Source organism: Homo sapiens, chromosome 2 (assembly GCF_000001405.40).
Source record: "Homo sapiens chromosome 2, GRCh38.p14 Primary Assembly".
Lineage (NCBI taxonomy): Eukaryota > Metazoa > Chordata > Mammalia > Primates > Hominidae > Homo > Homo sapiens.
This window is the reverse complement of record NC_000002.12, coordinates 173,911,091-173,932,581: the sequence shown is the minus strand read 5'-3', so window position 1 is coordinate 173,932,581 and position 21,491 is coordinate 173,911,091. Positions and strand designations below refer to the sequence as shown.

General features: G+C 36.5%; 1 protein-coding gene across 3 annotated transcripts in view; it reads left to right on the top strand.

The window, feature by feature from the left end:
* SP3 (Sp3 transcription factor) overlaps nt 1–21,491 on the top strand; it is a 64,928-nt gene that overhangs the window by 33,121 nt on the left and 10,316 nt on the right. For all 3 annotated transcript variants that reach the window (NM_003111.5, NM_001017371.5, NM_001172712.1), the window contains 2 exons: nt 13,797–13,989; nt 19,316–19,512. In NM_003111.5, the coding sequence (NP_003102.1) occupies nt 13,797–13,989; nt 19,316–19,512 (390 nt within the window). The remainder of the gene's footprint in view (nt 1–13,796; nt 13,990–19,315; nt 19,513–21,491) is intronic.

The following is a 21,491-nucleotide window of genomic DNA, read 5'->3' as shown; positions in this document are numbered from 1 at the left end:
GTTCTGACTGTTGCAACGACCAGCCGTTTCCTCATCTTTCTCCTCGGGCCTCCCTCCTCCCTGAGACACAACAATATTGAAACTAGGCCAGTTCCAGGCACGGTGGCTCACTCCTGTAATCCCAGCACTTTGGGAGGCCGAGATGGGCGGATCAGTTGAGGTCAGGGGTTCAAGTGCAGCCTGGCCAACATGGTGAAACCCATCTCTACAGAAAATACAAAAATTAGCCGGGCGTGATGGCAGGCGCCTGTAATCCCAGCCACTTGGGAGGCTGAGGCAGAACAATTGCTTGAACCCAGGAGGCAGATGTTGCAGTGAGCTGAGATCACGCCATTGTACTCCAGCCTGGGCAAAAGAGCAAAACTCTGTCTCAAGAAAAAGAAAAAACTAGGCAAATTGATAATAACCCTACAGTAGCCTCTAAGTGTTCAAGTGAAAGGAAGAATTGCACATATCTCACTTTAAGTCAAAAGCTTAGAAATAATTAAGCTTAGTGAGGAAAGCATATTGAAAGCCCAGATAGACCAGAAGCTGGGCCTCTTGTGCCACACAGCCACGTTGTGAATGCAAAGGAAAAGTTCTTGAAGGAAATTAAAAGTCCTAGTCCAGTGAACACGTGATAAGAAAGCAAAACAGTCTCATTGCTGATATGGAGAAAATTTTAGTGGTCTGGCCAGATATACCAGCCACAACATTCCTTTAAACCAAAGCCTAATCCAGAGCAAGGCCCCTAACTCTTCAATTCTGTGAATGCTGATAGAGGTGAGGAAGCTGCAGAAAGAGTTGGAAGTTAGCAGAATACTGGTCCATGAGGTTTAAGGAAAGAAACTGTTTCCATAACATAAAGACAAGGCTGCAAGTGCTGATGTAGAAGCTGCAAGAAGTTATCCGGAAGCTAAGATCATTGATGAAAATGGCCACACTAAACAACAGATTTTCCGGCTGGGCGTGGTGGCTCACACCTGTAACCCCAGCACTTTGGGAGGCCGAGGTGGGAGGATCACGTGGTCAGGAGTTGAAGACCAGCCTGGCCAATATGGTGAAACCCCATCTCTACTGAAAATACAAAAATTAGCCGGGCATGATGGCGCACACCTGTAGTCCTAGCTACTCGGGAGGCTGAGGCAGAAGAATCGCTTGAACCCGGGAGGTGGAGGTTGCAGTGAGCCGAGATTGCACCACTGCACTCCAGCCTGGGAAACAGAGCGAGACTCCATCTCAAAAACAACAACAACAAAAATGCCAGGCTGGTCTCGAACTCCTGACCTCAAGTGATCTGCTCGCCTTGGCATCCCAAAGTGCTGGAATTACAGATGTGAACCACCGCGCCTAGCCAGCAACCACCATCTTGATCAGTCAGCAGCAATTGACTTTGAGGCAAGACCCTCCACCAGCAAAAAGATTACGATTTACTGAAGGCTCAGATGATTGTTAGCATTTTTTAGCTGTAAAGTTTTTTTAAATTAATGTACTTTTTGTTTTTTTAGACATAATGCTGTTGCACACTTAATAGACTGCAGTATAGTATAAACATATGTACTGGGAAACCAAAAAAATGTGTGGCTTGGTTAATTGCAATATTAGCTTTATTGTACTTGTCTGGAATCAAATTTGTAGTGTTTCTGAGGTATGTCTATATTAGGTTAAATGAAATATATTAAAGTTAATTTTACCTTTGAGTTTTACTTTTTTAATGTGGCTGTTAGAAAATTTGAAGTTAACGTACGTGGCTTGCATTGTATTTCTATTAGACAGCACCTATATTATTACAGCCTATCATCACTTAAGTCAAAATTTATACAAGGAATAGTATGCTCTAACAAAAAACTTCAACTGTGGCATTGGCCTGAGGATCAGGCAGCAAGGAAACTGATGTTAGATGCTAGAAACATGACGATGCAGAGAACAATATTATTATATAAAACTTAACGTGCAGTAACTTGGAAGGCAAGTAATATATTTAATGCATTTGAAGCTTTTGGGACAAGGTTGGAAAACAAATTGTATTTTAACTGGTACTGGTTTCATTTGACAAGGTGTTATAAGAAAGAGATGAGCTAGAAAATAATTGGTTAGTTTGCAAGTATGAATGAAAAGCAATACAGAGTCCAGAAATTTGGGAATTTGTAGGATTAGAAGAAGCAATTACTGCTGCACCTTTTTTTTTCTTTTTAATTAAATTAGAGGCAGTCTCCCTGTGTTACCCAGGCTAGTCTCAAATTCCTGGGCTCAAGCAATCCTCCCACCTTGGCCTCCCAAAGTACTGGGATGAGCGACTGTGCCTGACCAGTAGTTGCTTCTTACCTCCAATCAGTAGGAGACACAACTGAAAAGGCTTTTGAGTAGATAATTAAAATTCATCCTTTTGGTAGGATCCAGTCAGGGTTATGACCATCACTTCCATTGTTAAAATGTCTGAAAGGATTAAGGTAATTCAGAGTAAAGGCCAACTTGAGAGGGAATTGCTTTTCAGTTGGGTTAGGGAAAAGAGACTAAAGGTATGGAACCCCTGCTAAAGCCAGGTAAACTCAAGGTACCCATAGTTAGAGAGAAATAGACACACTGTCTCATGGGGCAAGAAAGCAAAGAAAAGTAGTAAATCTAAGAGGCATATCTTAGAAAAAAGCTTTGGTTCTGGACATTGGCGCTTGGAATTGGATAGAATCAAATAGATAAGCCTTCTAATTTTTTCAGGGAGAGGCATAGACAAAAGTCTGAATAAAGTATAACTGCTTGATACATAATGATCTTGCTCTCTGCCCCATACCTCCCTGACCTATCTGCCTGCTGAGAATTCTGCTCTGCTAAGGAGTCACACTCTCTGATGCTCACTTCACTTGTAGCGTTAGAAGATAACAGACCAGGAAAAACCTTCCAGAAGGCAGAACCTAGAGGCACAGAGAACAGCAGACTTAGAAACTCCTCCCAAGGGTCAGTCAGAGCATTCCCCACCTTCCAGGACAGAGAGCCCTTGCACAATCTGTTCAGCCTGGCTTATGAATTGCTATGAACTACTGACTGTTGTCTTCTTTTCTTCTTTTGAACTGGAGCATTTTTTATATTCTGTCAGTGTGTATTGTGTGTGTGAAGGGAAGTAGATAACTTGTTTTAATAAATAGGTCTCTGTGAAGAGGGGCTGCATCTGGACTTGATATAGAGGTGATTTCCCCATCAGCGCAGATCCTGTCCTTTGATCTTGATGCTGAGACTGGATGGGATATTTGGGTTACCTTCTGAATGGAGGGACAGGTGTATTTTTTCATGTGGGAAGAATAAATATTTGACAGCAGGGGACTAGGGAGTCATGATTCTTCATAAAATAATCATTGAATTGCCCTTTCCTTTAATTCTTAATGTCGGGCATGGCCACGTGCCTTTTTGTAACCAGTAAAATGTGAGTGGAAGTTAAAGAACAGAATGTGATTTGCCACGTTTTCTTTCACCTTTGGCAAGGCAACCTTGGAAGCATGTATCAAGTGGAGCCTGGAAGCATGTATCAAGGGGAGCCTGGACTCCTGAGGCACTGTCATGATCACATCTCCCTTACCAACCTGAATTGGACATTTGAAATTAGTGAAAAATAAATTTTTGTTGTATCAAAGCCATTGAGCTTTTGTGATTGATGTTACTGTAGCACAGCTTCACTGATTCTGATTAATGTGTTAGATTATAATTTTGGTCAACAAATGTTCGCTCAATATAGTTGTTCAATAAATGTTTGAATCAAATATGTAAAAATTGGAGGGCAAAAGAAAAATGTATAAATTCTAAAACTGCCAAGATCCAGGTCTTTGGCTTTTATTCTTTGTGAAAGCCAACCACATGGTGACTAAGGGTCCTCTAATTATATAGGTAATACGGCAGAGATGATTTAGGTAGCAGACACGGGAAAATAGAAAACAATGAAGCTTGTAAATAACTAGGGGTTCAAAGCAATACATAGGTGTCGTTTAGTGGATCATTTAAAGCATTTTTTCTTCTATTTATATTGATACCAACTCAGGATTGTTTACAGTCTGCAGAAAGTGTTGGAACGGAATCATTTTATTTACAGGCAGTTCTGCTTTTTTTTTTTTTTAATGAAGGAAGAAAACCCCAAACCATGTGTTTTTGTTGTTGTTGGTTGGTTGTTTTCCCCCTAGCCATTGCAGCAGTGGCAGAAACATCAGTTTTAGTCCAGTGCTAGAGCAGAGCCTTTTCCTCAAATGACATCTTAGGCAGAACTCCAGTGTATAAAACTAATATTAATGGGGCTGCTCTGACTTACATGAGGGCCTGGGGCCCTCTTCTCTGCTGACACTTAACAGTTTGAAATTTCCTGTACTGAAGCAGATATACCTGCCGTGGCCATCTTCATTTTGAAGGGTTTGAGTTTCTTAAGAGTAGCCTTAGATCCTTTCTTTAGTCCTAATTTATTTAATGTTTATATACAGTTTTAACAATTCCGACTGCTTTCCAAATTTAAAACTGGCTTAGAAAATGTACAGTAGAAGGGATGATGGGTACGGTAACCTGGGAGGTGGAGGATGGAGAGTTGATATCACCAGAGTTGGGAAGAAGGCAGGAAAAACAAGTAGAAGAAATAAAAAACTATAATTATGAATGTTTTTAGTTCAGTGTTCTAGGGCCTATTTGATACCATAAATTACTTTTAATAATGAATTGGAATAATTAGACAAAGATTAAATAACGTTCTGAGCTTCCTGCCAAGGAAAGTAGGTAAATGTGTAATTGATTCTGGAGAAATTTTTGTTCAAGATATCATAACTATCTTAAATAACTGATGCCCTGAAGGTTTTGAATTTTAGAAGTTTTTGATGTATTTTTAAAGCGATACACAAATAATTGAAAGTTGAAATAGTAAATAATACTGTTTTCCAAAGTTTAATTAAAATACTTTATAAAGCTTAAAAGGATCTCAAGTTACTTAAATTTGAGAAAATGAGTTTATATTGTGATATATGCCATTACCATTGCATTTCAACAAGTTATAAGAATGATATAGGTCGGGTGGGGTGGCTCATTCCTGTAATCCCAGCACTTTGGGAGACCGAGGCCGGCAGATCACCTGAGGTCAGGAGTTCGAGACCAGCCTGGCCAACATGGTGAAACCCAGTCTCTACTAAAAAATACAAAAATTAGCCGGGCGTGGTGGCGGACACTTGTAGTCCCAGCTACTCGGGAGGCTGAGATAGGAGAATTGCTTGAACCCTGGGAAGTGGAAGTTGCAGTGAGCGGAGATCACACCACTGTACCCCACCCTGGGCGACAGAGTGAGAACCCTGTCTTAAAAAAAAAAAAAAAAGATATATAGTTGATATGGTTTGGAAGTCCCACCCAAATCTCATGTTCAATTGTAATCCCCAATGTGGGAGGAAGGACTTGATGGAAGGTGATTTGATCATGGGGGTGGTTTCCCATGGCTTACCACCATCCTCCTTGGTGTTGTCTTGGTGATAGTGAGTTCTTGTGAGATCTAGTTAAGTGTGTGTGGCACCTCTTGCCACCCTCTTGCTGCCCTGGTCATGTGACTTGCCAGCTCTCCTTTTGCCTTCTGCCATGATTGTAAGTTTCCTGAGGCCTCCCCAGAAGCAGAGCAGATGCCAGAATCATGCTTCCTATACAGCCTGCAGAACCATGAGCCAATTAAACCTTTTAAAAAAATAAATTACTTAGTCTCAGGTATCTCTTCATAGCAGTGGGAGAACGGACTAATACAATACTATCTAAAAAGCATAACCAAATCTGTTCTGTCATGGCTATTTTTTTTAGAATATTTTAAGAAACGACTTCAAGCCATTCAATTTAAGTTTTATTGCAATATGCAATTGGAATGACTTAGTTAATAGAATTAATGTGGAAGCCATTTTTACATTCTTAAAATTTTTTTTAATTACTTAAAAATAATTTTAAAATTATCTGGGCATTGTGGCCCAATTTATTTTTGGTAGAGACTGGTCTTGCTGTGTTGCCCAGGCCAGTCTCAAACACCTGGACTCAAGTGACCCTCCCTCCTTGGCCTCCCAAAGTGCTGGGATTACAGGCGTGAGCCACCGTGCCCAGCCTCTGGTGCGTTCTACAGGATGCTTGGCACTTGTCCTGTTGAAAGACAGGGCTTTTCTGGGGACCACCTGCCTCATTTTTGTATTCTTGGTGAGTAGCATAAATACATACATAGAACCTGGAAGAAAATATATATATCTATTTGGTAGAAGGCATGAAAACCGAGAATAAGATTATAATAGGTACATCTATTAAATACCAAGAGATGAGGTTAAAAAATAATATATATTATTGCTATTTTGTATGTTTCCTTCATTGGTCTTACTAAAGAAGGAGGCTTGAAAAACAGTGTATTTTGTCCTCAAGTAGTTAGACTAAGTTAGACTAGACATTGTGATACAATGTTTAGATTAGGTGATTGGGAGGTGGGAAAGGAGGTAAACTACATTAAGATCCAATTTCTGTTGTAGTCATAGTTTGTTTTGAATCAAGAGCAGTTTGAATACTTAACCTTATTCATAATAGGCAGCTTCAGATCTTTAGTTGTCCCTAAAAATTCAGTCTACCTTTAAGATGAGCATTTAGTACATTTTAGTACATTTGATTTGAGAGTTGTGAGTTACAGCTGCTTATAGCAGATCACTTTCCTGCTGTTTATTGGATAGCAGTTAGGAATTACTGAGAACTTTATCTTTTTGTGTGTGTACTATTTTAACCTGGTAGAACAGCTTTTAAAAAAACCTTTATAGTAAATTTAAAGTAGTCTTTTTTTTAATCTGAAGGGGAGGGGAAAACTAGTCCCTAAAGCTTATGGGGACAAGGCAGAGCCTTAGGAAAGAGTATTGTGTGTTACAATAACTTGTAATATTGCTGTGTATCCTTCATAGTTTCTCTGACCTTCTTACCTGTGACATTGAGGATTTTATCCATTAGGTTCCTAAAATAAGTCCTCTATGGGAGTGGGACAACAGGGAAGATTTGCCAGATTTTTAAAAAAATTGTAAAAAACACATAACATTAAATTTACCATCTTAACAATTTTTAAGTGTACAGTTCAGTAATGTTAAGTGTATTCACATTGTTGTGTAACACATCTCTAGAATTTTTCATCTTGCAAAATTGAAACTCTACCTTTTAAATACCAACTTCCCTTTTCATCTCTCCCCCATTTGGCAACTACCTTTTTTCTTGCTGTTTGTATGATTTTGACTACTTTAAGTACTTCATATTCATGGAATCATAGCTGTCTTGTGACTCATTTATTTCACTTAACATAATGTCCTTGAGGTTCATCCGTGTTGTAGCGTGTGACAGGATTTCACATGCTACATACACATACTATATACATACAATAGAATATTTCACATATAATAGCATATGTGGCTGAGCGTGGTGGCTCACGCCTGTAATCCCAGCACTTTGGGTGGGCGGATCATGCCAAGGTGGGCGGATCACCTGAGGTCAGGAGTTTGAGACCAGCCTGACCAACATGGCGAAACTCGGTCTCTACTAAAAATACAGAAATTAGCCGGGTGTGGTGTTGCATGCCTGTAATCCCAGCTACTCAGGTGGCTGAGGCAGGAGAATAGTTTGAACCTGGGAGGTGGAGGTTGCAGTGAGCTGAGATCACGCCACTGCACTCCAGCCTGGGCGATGTGACACTCTGTCTCAAACAAAGAAAAAATAGTCTATGTATGTACTAAAGTTTCTTTATCTTTCCTAGATTTTTAAACTCACTTTGATTTGATTTAATTAAACTAAAACTAATTAAAATTGCATATATTTATATACAGGGAAGCTAACTTAAAGCTGCTGTTCCTATGAATGAACTGGCCTGGTAGGGAGTTGATCTTTAGCAATATCTGCAATATGGTTTTGCACAGTTTTCATCTTACATCCTGGCTCCATCCATTTTCAACTGTGTGACTTCAGGCAAACTACATAACCTCTTTGTTTTCTCATCTAGAAAGGAGGGGGAAAATAATATTAAACTCAGCGTAGTTGGGAGCATGACATGAGTTAATATATGTAAACACTTAGAATAGTGCTCTACAAGTAGTAAATCCTTATCTTATGTGTTTAGCCATCATATTCATCATTGGAGAGAGTAGGAGTCCCCTTAACAGGGGCTTAACTAGTACTTCAGATTTAATAAGGTGAAGTGAATATCTCGCTAGTCAGTTTACTAATTACAGGTCACATCATCTTTTTCTCACATATTTGTGGTAAGACTATAAAATGAGATCTTCTGTAATACATATTAGAAAATCAGTCATTTCTGGTTATGTTCATATGTATGTGTATATAAAATAATTTGGAAAACTGCTATAAAAATGAAAGGTTAATAAAAGATTAATTTCAAATGGGAGGAAAGGAGCAGTTTATAGAAGAGTAATGATCCAAATCTAAGGAGATGGCATTTGGGGGAAGAGATTGCTTGATGTTAAAGCAGAGATGGTGATTAACCATCCATCTATATTTTTAAAATTATTATTATATTTGGTAAGGGGATAACATTTAGTTTTAAAAACCTAACCCCTAAAGTGTTAACTTCTTTTAGCATTAGTGAAGTTATATTTTTAGGAACTCATATCTATAATTTAGAACTATCCCCTTAGAAGAAAAGTTGAAAAAAAACTTGGTACCTCTGAAATATCCATAGGAATCTGAGGAATAATGAAACTTTATAATACATGAGATATTGTAGGATTATCCGGTGGTTCTGTTAGATGATTTTTATGGCAGGTGAAGCTGATTAAAGGGAAAATGTAAATAAAATAAACTTTTAGAATCAAATGAAGTAATTTGATTCTAAATCAAATTTGATTTAGAATCAAATTACTTCAGTGCTTAAAAAAGTTGAAGGCAGAGAATATGAAAGACTTTGATAAGAACAACAAAATCTTAATGGCACACTATTGATAAAAGATAATGTCTCATTTTATCAACCATACTGTAATTCATATTTATCTAATGTTAGCTATTTAAATTAAGTATGCGTGTTCCAGACTTGATAAGTTGGTTAAGAATTTATCTTAAATGTTCTGTTAGCTCTATTGATAAATAATTAGCAGTTAATTTTAGGAAGAGGTATTTAGGATTTTCTTGTAATATTTTTAATAGAAATCTAGGCATGCCCTGAGTTATTGATACTTAACTAATACTGAAAATTAGCCTTATCTTTGTAACCATATTGTGTGTGTGGGTGTGTGTGTATATTTCATTATTTAAATTTTCTGTTTTTTTCTCTTCAATTCTTGCCCAGGTATGCAGAATTTTTTTTTCTTTTGTACATACCCCTTTCGCAAGCTTGTTTTATTGGTAGGCCTTGAAAACAGCCATAATCACAGGACAGAGATACTGTCAGTGCAATAACTCATCAAATGAAAAGGAAACTTAAACATTTTGAGGTGGAGAATAGACATAAAAAAACAGTGCTGTTTATAAAGTTCTTAAATGTGTCATACACATTTCCTTGAATTTCTGTTTTCATTGCTTAAATTTTTTGCATACTTTTCCTCAAATATTAATCAAATTTAAGTCAGCACATTCATTTCTTTATACTGCTAGCATGCACTATTGCTACAGAATATAAAGGCTGATTTACAAATACTTCAGGTACCCTTATGTGTCAAATCTACCCTTGTGGGCTAACCTAGGAACTGTACTGCCAATTTTATAATGCTTGCTTTTATAGCAAAACCCTTGGAAAGAGTTAACCTGTACTTGTTTACAATTCATCTCCTTCCACTCTCTGGAGTCTATACTAGGCAGGGTTTTGTGCTCACAGTTCTTGTCAAGATCACCAGTGATTACCACAATGTTATATCCAAGGATCATTTCTTAGTCTTTATTTTACTTGACTTTTTAAGTATTTGACACAGTTAAGTTCTTCCCGAAATGATTTCTTCAGTTTGGTTTCTGGACACCAGTTTCCTCATATCTCACTGGCACTCTCAGTCCCCTATGCTGGTTCTTTTTAGTCTCTGCTTGTTAATTTTGGAGTGCTGCAGGGTTTCCTCCTGTCTACATTATATTCCAGATGACTCTCAATGCCTAATGTATATGCTGATATTGGCAGGCCAGATTTCTACCTGAACTCCAAACCCATTGACTGTCTGATGAACACCTTCATCTGGATATTCAATAGGCATTCAGAACTTTCATATTTCAAAATAGGCCCCTGACTGGCACCCCTCCCCTGCAATCTTTTCTACCTTCAGTTTACCATATCTCAGTTAATGGCAACTCCATCTTTCTAGTTGCTCAGGATTTAAAAAAAAAAAAACCTTGGGAGTGTTTTTAACTTCTTTCTGTTCTTGCTCCTCACATGATAACCTGTTATCAATCTGTTAGCAGATGTCTTTGACTCTACTTTAAACATATTTTCTGACTGAACAATTCTACCCCTCCTCCTCAATACCTTAGCTTCAGGCCACTATCATCTCTTTTTAAGACTGTGTCAGGCCATTCCTGTATTACTATATAGAAATATCTGGGACTGGGTAATTTGTAAGAGGTTTAATTGACTCAGTTCTGCAGGCTGTACCGGAAGCATAGTGCTGGCATCTGGGTCTGGGAAGGCCTCAAGAAGCTTTTACTCATGGCAGAAGGCAAATGGGGAATGGGCACGTCACATGGTAGAAGTAGAGGGAGGTGAGAGACAGAGAAAGAGTAGGAGGGAAGGTGCCACACACTTAAACCAGATCTCTTAACTATTGCAAGGACAGTGCCAAGACAGTGGTGCTAAACCATTTATGAGAAATCCGCCCCCATGATCCAATCACCTCCTACCAGGCTCCACCTCCACCTTTGGGGATTGCATTTCAACATAAGATTTGGATGGGGACAAATATCTAAACTGTGTCAGGGTCTTTCTTTGTTGCCCAGGCTGGAGGGCAGTGATGTGATCATGGCTCACTGCAACCTGAACCTCCTGGGCTCAAGTGATTCTCCCACTTCAGTCTCCTGAGTAGCTGGGACCACAAGGCATGTGCCACCATGCCTGCCTGGCCTGTTTGTTTGTTTGTTTGTTTGTTTGTTTGTTTTTGGATAGTGACGGGACCGCTCTCTCTTGGCTCAGGCTGGTCTTGAACTCCTAGGTTCAATCGTTTCTCCCGCTTCGGTCTCCCAAAGTGCTGATATTACAGGCATGAGCCACCCTGCCCAGTCAGCATGAACTTTTAACTTGCTAACTGCCTTATCCTTAGAACTTAGAACAGTGACTGGCACATCGTAGCCATACATATAGTTGTTGAGTGAATAAAATCATATTCTAAATTTCATATTATGAATTTAATTTGTGGGACACACTCATTTTATTATTTGTATAAAAATGGGGGAAGGTTTAGTCAACTATGTGGGAACTAGAGGTAAAGCAAAAAAATTGTCTTTAACAGTTCCTAAGTAATCACCTATAAATTACGTTAAAATATTTAATTTATAATAATCTTTATATTGAAGTACAATATGCATTCAGAAAATGTAGAGATCAAATGTATATAACTTGATGAAATTTTACAAAATGAACACATAGGAAAACTACCACCCAGATCAAGAAATAGGATATTACCAGCAACCCTGAAATCTCCCTGTACTCAGTCATATATGTCCCTCAAAAGTAGGCAGTCACCACTCTTCTATCCCCATGGAGCACCTACTCCCTTCACATTTAAATAATTATTTTTAAACTGGGCTCAGTGGCTCATGCCTGTAATCCCAGCACTTTGGGAGGCTGAGGTGGGTGGATCACTTGAGGTCAGGAGTTCGAGACCAGCCTGGCCAACATGGTGAAACCCTGTCTCTACTAAAAATACAAAAACTAGCTGGGCATGGTGGCGGGCACCTGTAATCCCAGCTACTCGGGAGGCTGAGGCAGGAGAATCACTTGAATCCGGGAGGCAGAGGTTGCAGTGAGCCGAGGTCACGCCACCACAGAGCAAGACTCTGCTTAAAAATAAATAAATAAATAAATAAATAAATTTTTAAAGAGCAGTTGAGATGCTTAGTAAAAATGAAAGGAAGTATAGAGATATACCTTACCCCCCGCCCCTGCACATGCATACCCTTCCCTATGTCAACATCACCCATCATTCAGAGTGGTTCATTTGTTAACAGTTGATGAATTTGCTTGATGTATTATCACCCAAAGTCCATACTCTACATTAGGGTTCCCTCTTCGTGTTTATACATTCTGTAAGTTTGAACAAATGTATGCCATGCATCCACCTATATTACATCATACATAGTATTTTCAGTACTCTGAAATGAAAATACGTCTGTGCTGTGCCTATTCATCCCTCCCTCCCCTTTAATTCCTGGCAACCACTGATCTTTTTTAATGTCTTCATAGTTTTGCCTTTTCCAACGTGTCATATGGTTGGAATAATTGCCAATTGTTATGAATCTTATATAAATGAAAATTTCTTTATATAAATATCATACACGATCCCATTCCCTGTATATAAAGGGAATACATAGGGGGTGCGGGGGGGCTTCTTTTGTTCGAAATGCTTTGAGAGATTCATTTCTGTTGCATGTAAGTTGTTGTTAATGTTCATTGTTTTAACATGTTCCATTGTATGAACAAATATGATTTGTTTTTCCATTCCAATACTAGGGGATATGTGAGTTTTTCTAGTTTAGGGTGATTACAAATAACATTGCTGTAAATTTTGTACTTGTATTTTGGTGTTAAGTGTATGCATTTCTGTAGGTTGTGTACCTAGGGGGAAATTGTTTGAGCTATAGGGTATATATAGGTTCACTTTTAGAAGATACAGATGAAAGAGTTTCCAAAGTGGTTGTACTGATCTACACACCTACCATCACTGTGGGAGTTTCAGTTGTTCCACATCTTTGCCAACAGTCTGTACGGTCTGTTTTAAAATTTCTCGTCATTTCTGTGGGTGTGTAATGATATCTCATTGTGAATTAAATTTTTATTTCCCTGATATTTAACAATGTTGAATACCTTTTCTTACTTTTATGGGTCATTTTGATGGATTATTACTTTTGTTTCTCCTGAGCCTTATAAATAGTGGATTTCTAAGAATAACTAGCCACCATGTAGGACACTAATACAGCACAGTAAAAAAAAGTGTTTTCCTGTCATCTATACTGAGATACCAAGGAAGATGTAAACTTAAGTGCCTGGTACTGAAGACTTATTTTTAAAGTATCTGTATTAAGTTGGTATGCAAAGGAGAATTATTTAGGGCTTACTACATTAATTGATTTTATGGTGAGAATTTGAAAGTATACCCAGATGTGTATGAATGAGTGCAGTGATTAGACATTGGGTATAACACTTTTTGGGCAATTAATTTATTGTCTTTAGTGAGCACTTTGTGGTCTCATCTATATGAACTGACTTAATCTTGTAACATCTCTTTATGTATTATTTGCACATAAAAGGCATAGAAAAGTAGAGGAGAAAGTTTTTCCAGGTAGATTATTACCTATATTGGAAGTTCCTTCTTACAGAAGACTTGTTCATTTAGGGAGATTGTATTTTCCGAGAACTTTGAGTGAAGCATTTATTATCTAAAGGGACATATGAACTAATTAATGTTATTAATTCTACTATAAGCATTTATACAGGAGATTACTCTCCAACTAGTCTTGAAGAATAGAGGTTAGTTAGATGAGGAACAAAATAACTGGAAAACAGTCTAGGCAAGAGAAGTAGTGCATGCAAAGTTGTAACATTGGGAGAAGACATGTAATTTCATGCTGTCTTTTTGGGCCATTTGGTTGCTTCTCATCTGTATTTGGTTTTTTTTTCCCTTTAGATATTAGGATCAAGGAAGAAGAACCTGATCCTGAAGAGTGGCAGCTCAGTGGTGATTCTACCTTGAATACCAATGACCTAACACACTTAAGAGTACAGGTGGTAGATGAAGAAGGGGACCAACAACATCAAGAAGGAAAAAGACTTCGGAGGGTAGCTTGCACCTGTCCCAACTGTAAAGAAGGTGGTGGAAGGTATGCATACATGAAACACATATATATTTTTAAGAGTGCTAATATCATTCTGATTTTTGAAATACTGCATGCTATGTCATTTAATTATGAGAAATTATTACATGATCATTTTTGGTGTGTGTGTATGCGTGTGGCAGAAGTTAGAGAACAAAATATATGGAATTGGATTTTCAGTTCTCAATGTTTTTTAAACTAAAATTATTAGTTTGCTGTTTCAAAAATAGTACAGCAGATGCCATTTAACAGGCCCACACTGATCAGAAATTAGCCTGTTTGCAAACCAGCAATGGAATTTGCCTAAATATAGATAAAAAGTTGATTTTTTAGGTTGAGAATAGTAGTTACGTAAAAATTAAGTTCAGGAATGGCTGATAAGCATAAGTATTTCCATTTTCTTAGAAGTGAAAAATAAGCCTTAATAGATTGAATTTTTTAAAAAATGGGATTGTATTTCAGTTCAGTCTTTTTAAAGGTAAACATTAAGACAGAATAACATGACTGGAGTAAACTCAAAATGATCAGAAATTATGTTAAATATGGATGTACTAAGCTTAATAATGAAGAGATTGAGACTCAGATCATATTTTTTTTAAAAAAAAAAACAAGATCCAGACTGATGTTAATTATAAAGAACACCTGAAATAATTGGCACAGGAATATTGAAGATGAGGGATGGAAAAAGATTTATCAGGCAAGTATTAACAAAAAGAAAACTTGGATAGCAGTGTTAATATATCACACGAGACGGAATTGAGGTGAAAGCCCCAAATAAGACAGAGATGTATTTCTTGTTAATAATATTAAATTTCCACCAAGAAGATTTAATAGTCACGGTCCCTTTTTTGTGCAGCTTTGAAATATATAGAGCAAAAACGGATAGAACTCTAAAGCCATACTTAACCAAATCCCTTGTCATGGTGAAAATTAACATACCTTTCTTAGAAATGCACTGTTTAAGTAGATAAAATGTACTTTTAATAGAGTTAACAAACTTGATCTAATAGAGCTTTTCTATCTGCCTTTGAGTTGCACATTGGCCAGCCCTTTCCAGTAATAATAATTGCTAACAACTGGTAACATTGAGAGTTTACCGTATTCCCAGTGGTGTTAGAAGTGAGACATAGAGAGGTTGAGTGACTCCTAAGAGCACACACAACAGGGATTTGGACCTAGTTTTACTCCAGAGCCTTAACCATTAAACTATACTGCCTCCCAAGTGACTCTCCTTCTACATCTGATCCTTAGGTATTCATGTTTATTGTAATTAGTTTAAAGTTTTGTTTTTTGACATATTTTGGTCAATTAAAATTGTGAATTCTAACTAGGCAGTAACTTTTCTGAAACTCATTTTAGAGGGGCTTTTAAGATAAATTATTCACAAAAGTCAAATCTAACGGAGGCCTGGCCTTTGTTTCACTTATTCTTTATTTTAAAATGAAAATGTTTTAATTAGTTTATGTTTATTAAACTAAAACATGCTCATAAAAATGTAGACACATAGGACATTTAAAAACACCAAAATCTCACCCCTCTTCAAGTTAAGCTAGTAATGTGTTTGTGTTTGTCCTTTAAGATGTTACATGTATTTTAAAGTAGAATCATCTTATTCTCACTGTTTTATATGTCTGTTCTTGTTTTGAGAATTTTTGTGACCATATTTTCAAGTCTATATAGTCTGAATCATTTTTATGGCTGTATAGTATTCTGTTGTATTCTATTGTATGGATGTAGGGTGATTTAACATCTTTTGTTGGGAATTTATTGTCATAATCTTACACGTATGTCTTTGCACATTTGTCTGATTATTTTATTTGTATAAGTTGGCAGAAGTGAAATTGCTGGGTTAAAGGGAATTGTCTGCTAGAAAGGCTAGTTTATACTCTAACCAGCAGTGTGTGAGAGTATCTAGTTTCCCACACCTTTGCCAACAATGAATTTTACAATTATTTTTAACCTTTGAAAGTCTGACAGATGAAAAATACCTTAATATTGTCTTAGTATATTTTTAAATTACTTGGTGAGGTTGAACATTTTTGGGGATGTTATTTTGCCATTTTAAAATTTATTTTTTGAATTGTTTCTTTTTTTTTGTAAATCTGTTAATTTATGTAACTCTGTCACGTGCAAATGTTTTTTCCCAGTTTTACATTGCCTTTGTCAGTGGTTTGTAGAATGCATTGTTATTACACAAGTAAAGAAACAGTTCCATCACTTACACCTTGCAAACATTTTAAGCACAAAAAATTAAAGTTGGTCAGCCTTTCCTTTATTAGATGCCTTGTTACCATGCTATTACAAGTTTTCCGTATTCTGAGAATTATAAAAATGTTCATTTATATTTTTTCTAGAACTTTTGTGACTTCATTCTTTAATAGCTCACTTATTCTAAGCAATAAAAATTGAGATTCCTAAGAAAAGAAACTATATTGTTTCTTAGAGCTTGTTTGAACAAAATTCAAGCAGTATATGTGTGATAGACACACTTGTATAAATGACAATTGTACCTAATTGATAGAAGCATAACATAGGTAGTAAATCCAAACTATTCTAAAGTATTCTGCAAGTTGATACAGATAGTAATTAAAAAAGTTTTTTAGAATATTTGTCTTTTTTTGCAACCATTATTTTTTTAAAGAATATGGGCAAGATGGCATTTTTAGAGAACTGATTTTATTCATCTTTAGAGAAGTAAATTTTATTTGTTTACCTTTTAAAGTAAGGTGTAAAATATAAAATATTTAAAAGTTGTAATTATTTAGCAAATATTTATTGAGCAGAACCAGCTTTCAGAGACTGTTTAAACTAGTGAGAGATAACCTAGTGAGAGACAAATAATTGTAAGTAAAATACATTCTAGAGGCATGATTGTTATATAGGTTTTGTATGGATTAAACATCAGTCCATATTTTTAAAATTGTGCACAATCTGTTTTCTTTGTCAGCATTTCAGTTTATGTCCTGTTTTTCCCACCCTGAGCAGAAGAGAGTGTATTTACTTAACTTTTCTTAACTCCTCTACCCACAGTTTAGCTTCCACTCTATCTTAGCATTATTAAATTATTGGGAACAAGTTTAGACACTCAAGAATAAAAACGTAAAATTATTAGTTTTTCCTATATTATAGGCATTAGTGGTGTGGATATTAATCAAGAAGAAAACTTTAAATCTTTTATTCCTGAACTTTGTTGAGAAATTCACTTCAGTTCTCTCCCTTCAAGCCTTGGTATGACATGCCGTAAATCCACATCTACCATATCTATATCTTACTTTGAATGAAATTTTCTTTTTAAATAGAATTTTGGGCCTGGATGTTGAGCTTTTTCCTTAAATATGTGTGCAACCCCGCCCCTATGTTTTTTCTTTCCTAGATGCCTGTCCCATTTTCAAATAATATTTCTTATTTCCTAATAATTCAGTTAAAAATACCTTCCCTAGCTTCTTGCTTCTTTGAGAACCCAGATCTGTTGCTGTTAATTTGTTAGTCTTGTGCTTTGTTAGTGTTCCCATGCTAAATTTTGCTAAGTTTGTGAAATGCACTTTTGAGTTTGTAAAAGCGCGTTGATTATTGACCTGAGTGGTAGGCTTAGAGGAGAGGCATGAAATAATGAGTACACGAGTGAACTGAATTGGGTTCTCTGTGAAATTGCTATGGTGAACACGATATGTAAAATTGGTTTGTACACCAGTAGCCACAAACATTGCTGTTTTTCTTAGGGATTTTTAAATAATAAAATAAATTTAAAAATCTAAATTAAATGGAATCAATATTGGCTTTGGTTAGTAAGACTTTGGCATTGCAAGGGAGCCAGAAAAACCTGTTTCACTTAACTCAGCTCTTTGAAGAGTTGTAGAAATTGGGGGTGGACTGGAGCAGAAACTAGAATTGTGTTAGATTATGACATCCTTGCCCTTGAGACAACAGCATGACTCCTCCTTGTCTTTACTTATGCTATTCCTCTGCCTGGAATGCCTTCCCTCCTTTCTATCTAAATCCTACCCACCTCCTCCACGAAGCCTTCTCTAACTACTGGAGCCCACATTGATGTCTCCCTGTTCAGAACACCTATGGCATCTAACAGCCAGCACTGCACCGTTTAGCACTGTTTGTCCTATGGCAATTTCACATGCTACTGAGTGTGAGTACATTAAAATATAAATGTGGGGAAATATGCATTTTTCCAGTAAATTTGAAAAACGATAGGTGTATTGTATACAGGAGGATTTACAGGCTATAGAAAGTTTTACAGGATATGCCTAAACTGTGAGATTGGGGGAGGAGGGGAGTTGGGGAGGGGGCTAAATGTACTTTTTTAAAAAAACTCAGAAACATTGTAAAGTTTATACAAATTGTTTTGTCCAAAGTGTCATGTTTTTTAAAAACTAATTTATTTTTATTCAGTAACAAGCCTAATTTTTTTTTTTATTTTAAAAGGTTGAGAAATAACATTTTCTGTAGTGTTTAATACTATTCAAATGATCAATTCTGGGATCAAAAAAGTTTTCTTCTTGCTTAGGCTAAGATACCTCTGTTCACCCATCTAATCTCATATCTTCTAAACCCTGCTCTTGGTATCAAATACTGAAATGTAATAAATGTCCAATTTTGTGATGTGGAGAAAACTGTATTTTATTATATCTCTTGTGTCTAATTTTGGGTATCTTTTACATGGTTAATATGAAGGGAATTTTAAATGTAAAGATAATTTTGATTTGTATTTATCTCATCTAATGCTAAGGGAGTTCAGACCATTGCTTTAACTAGATTTAAAAAAAAGCTTTCTCCAAGTCAGTGTATATTCAGAGTGTGGCCACACAAATATGAACAAATATTCTTAAATCATATTAAAGTCTGCTAAAGCTGCCTATATCTTTTAATTGTACCTGTGATCAGTTACGTATTCATTCTTTGGTTTAAATATATTTTTGATTATCTGACGACTTTTGAATACAGACCACATTTAGTTTCCTATATAATTAAGTGGATCAGGCTTATGCGTAGAATTTGTGAATGGTTCTGATAGAAGAATAAATAGCTTTATTGTACATTCTTTACATATGAAATGTCCTTTTAATTACATAATTCTTGAGCATATTTACATTTGGACAACAATCACATTAATTCTGGAGTAAGGTTAATATATAAAATGTATATGCTTGAAATACATAAATTTTCATTTAAACTGATTTTAAATGGTTTTGGTTTCTGATTGACTTTGTAATGATAATGTCTTCTATTTAAAATTCAACATGGGGATATATGATGTAAATGGTAATGTCCATTTGAATATTTTCATATAAGTATATATTATTCTATGTGTGTTTTTTAGAGGTACCAATCTTGGGAAAAAGAAGCAACACATTTGTCATATACCAGGATGTGGTAAAGTCTATGGGAAGACCTCACATCTGAGAGCTCATCTGCGTTGGCATTCTGGAGAACGCCCTTTTGTTTGTAACTGGATGTACTGTGGTAAAAGATTTACTCGAAGTGATGAATTACAGAGGCACAGAAGAACACATACAGGTTACTAATACTTACTTTTAACAGACAAAAATGAATTATAGGGCTACATAACTGCCTTGACTTCTTTTTTATTAGCATTCCTTACTGAACTGAATCGATTTAAAATACAATGAATTACATCCAATTTTTACCTTTAGTAACACCATCTTAATAACACAAATTCCAAAGAACAAGTCAGTCTGGCTTATCTTCTAAAATAAAGTTATATTTAAGTAGACTTTGGGTGGCTTTTGTTGACATTATTGAATGCTTTAAACCACATTTATACTATTTTTATTCTGTTAACATTTTTAATTAGTTGTCAGCTTTTACTCTTGATCTATCCTATTTTTTTTCTTTCCTCTTAACACTGTAACAAAAAATACTCCTGTTTCTTCTGACATATTTGGGCATTTCACCTTTTCTTTTGTTTTTAGTATCTCTGAGGTAAGGGAAAGGTATTTCACTGAGGAATAACCAAGGCAATGTTGATGTGAAGACTTTCTCTGATTATATTATTTTTACATAGTGTTGTGTGGTTGTTAAATGAAATGGACCTGTGACTGATCTACACTGAAACCTAACAGTGTTAACTTAGAGATAGTTTTTTCCTACTACCATGTAAATGATTAAAGTGTTCATCAGTCTATGCTCAACACTGGAGAATTGAAAACTATGTATTTACAATCCCTAGAGAGCTTGGAAGAAGCATGGTAAAATGGAGAACAACATGGATTTTGAAGTCATCTGGATTCCAATCCAAGTTCCCTATTAGGTTAAGCGAATAAACTATCTCTGACGTTGCTTCACATATCCTACTTTGGCCTTCAGTATTGTATAAAATTACCTATGAAGTCTGTAGTAGTATACAGATGCTCTAATAGTTTTAGTTCCTGTCTCTCATTGGGTAGGTAGACAGATGAGATTAACCTACATGAAACTGCAACAGACAATTAAGAAAGTAGATAAGGCTGCAGGGCGTGCTGGCCCATGCCTGTAATCCCGGCACTTTGGGAGGCCAAGGAAGGCAGATTGCTTGAGCCTCAGGAGTTTGAGACCAGCCTGGGCAACATGGTGAAACCGTGTCTCTCCTAGAAAGACAAAGAATAGCCGGGCGGATGGTGTGTACCTGTAGTCCCAGCTGCTCAGGAGGCTGAGGTGGGAGGATTGCTTGAGCCCATGGGGCGGCGGTTGCAGTGAGCCAAGGTCATGCCACTGTACTGCAGCCTGGGTGACAAAGTGAGATCCTGTCTCAAAAAAAAAAAAAAAAAAAAAAAGGTAGATAAAAGATTTTGCGTTGCAGTCTGCTGTTGAAAAGGCTCAGAAACAGAGATAATTACTGCTTGGGATAGTAAAGTATGGGATAATAGATCTTATGATGGCCCTGTTAACAGAATTTTCCTCAGTAGGATTTTATCAGCAGGTTGTAAAAAGGAATAATGTAAAAGGGAGAAAAAGGTCAATGATCAAATAAGTGTAGGAAATAGTGGGCCAAAGAGGGTATAAGTACCTTCAAGGCAGTACCTCTTAGGACCTTTAAATTAAATGCTAGATTGACAGCTTGCATCTATAAGTTAGTGATGTAATGTGTGTGTAGCATTTCCTAACCTTGTGCCGTTTGCCATGGAGTACCTCTCAGGACTAATGTTACAAGAGAAACTGGGAAATACTTTAGTAGAAAAATGGTGGTATGTTAATAGAAGAAGTGAGAGACCTTTTTTTGTAGCGGTGAATGAGGATGAGATTTTACATAACATTTCTGTTAAGTAGGATTGAGGCACACTTTAAAGGTCCTTGTAAATTAGGCAGTGGAGCATCTAAACTGTTACGTCATCTGCAAGTTACCCTTGCATTTCCATATCACTTAATATAATCTTGAAGTTTTCTGATGTAATAAAATTTGGTCTTTAAGGAAGATAGTCTGGAGAGAGAGAGAGACTAGGATGTGACTGCAGTATAGTTCAAGCATGAGGTCTGATAAAGACCTATGTAGAGTAGAG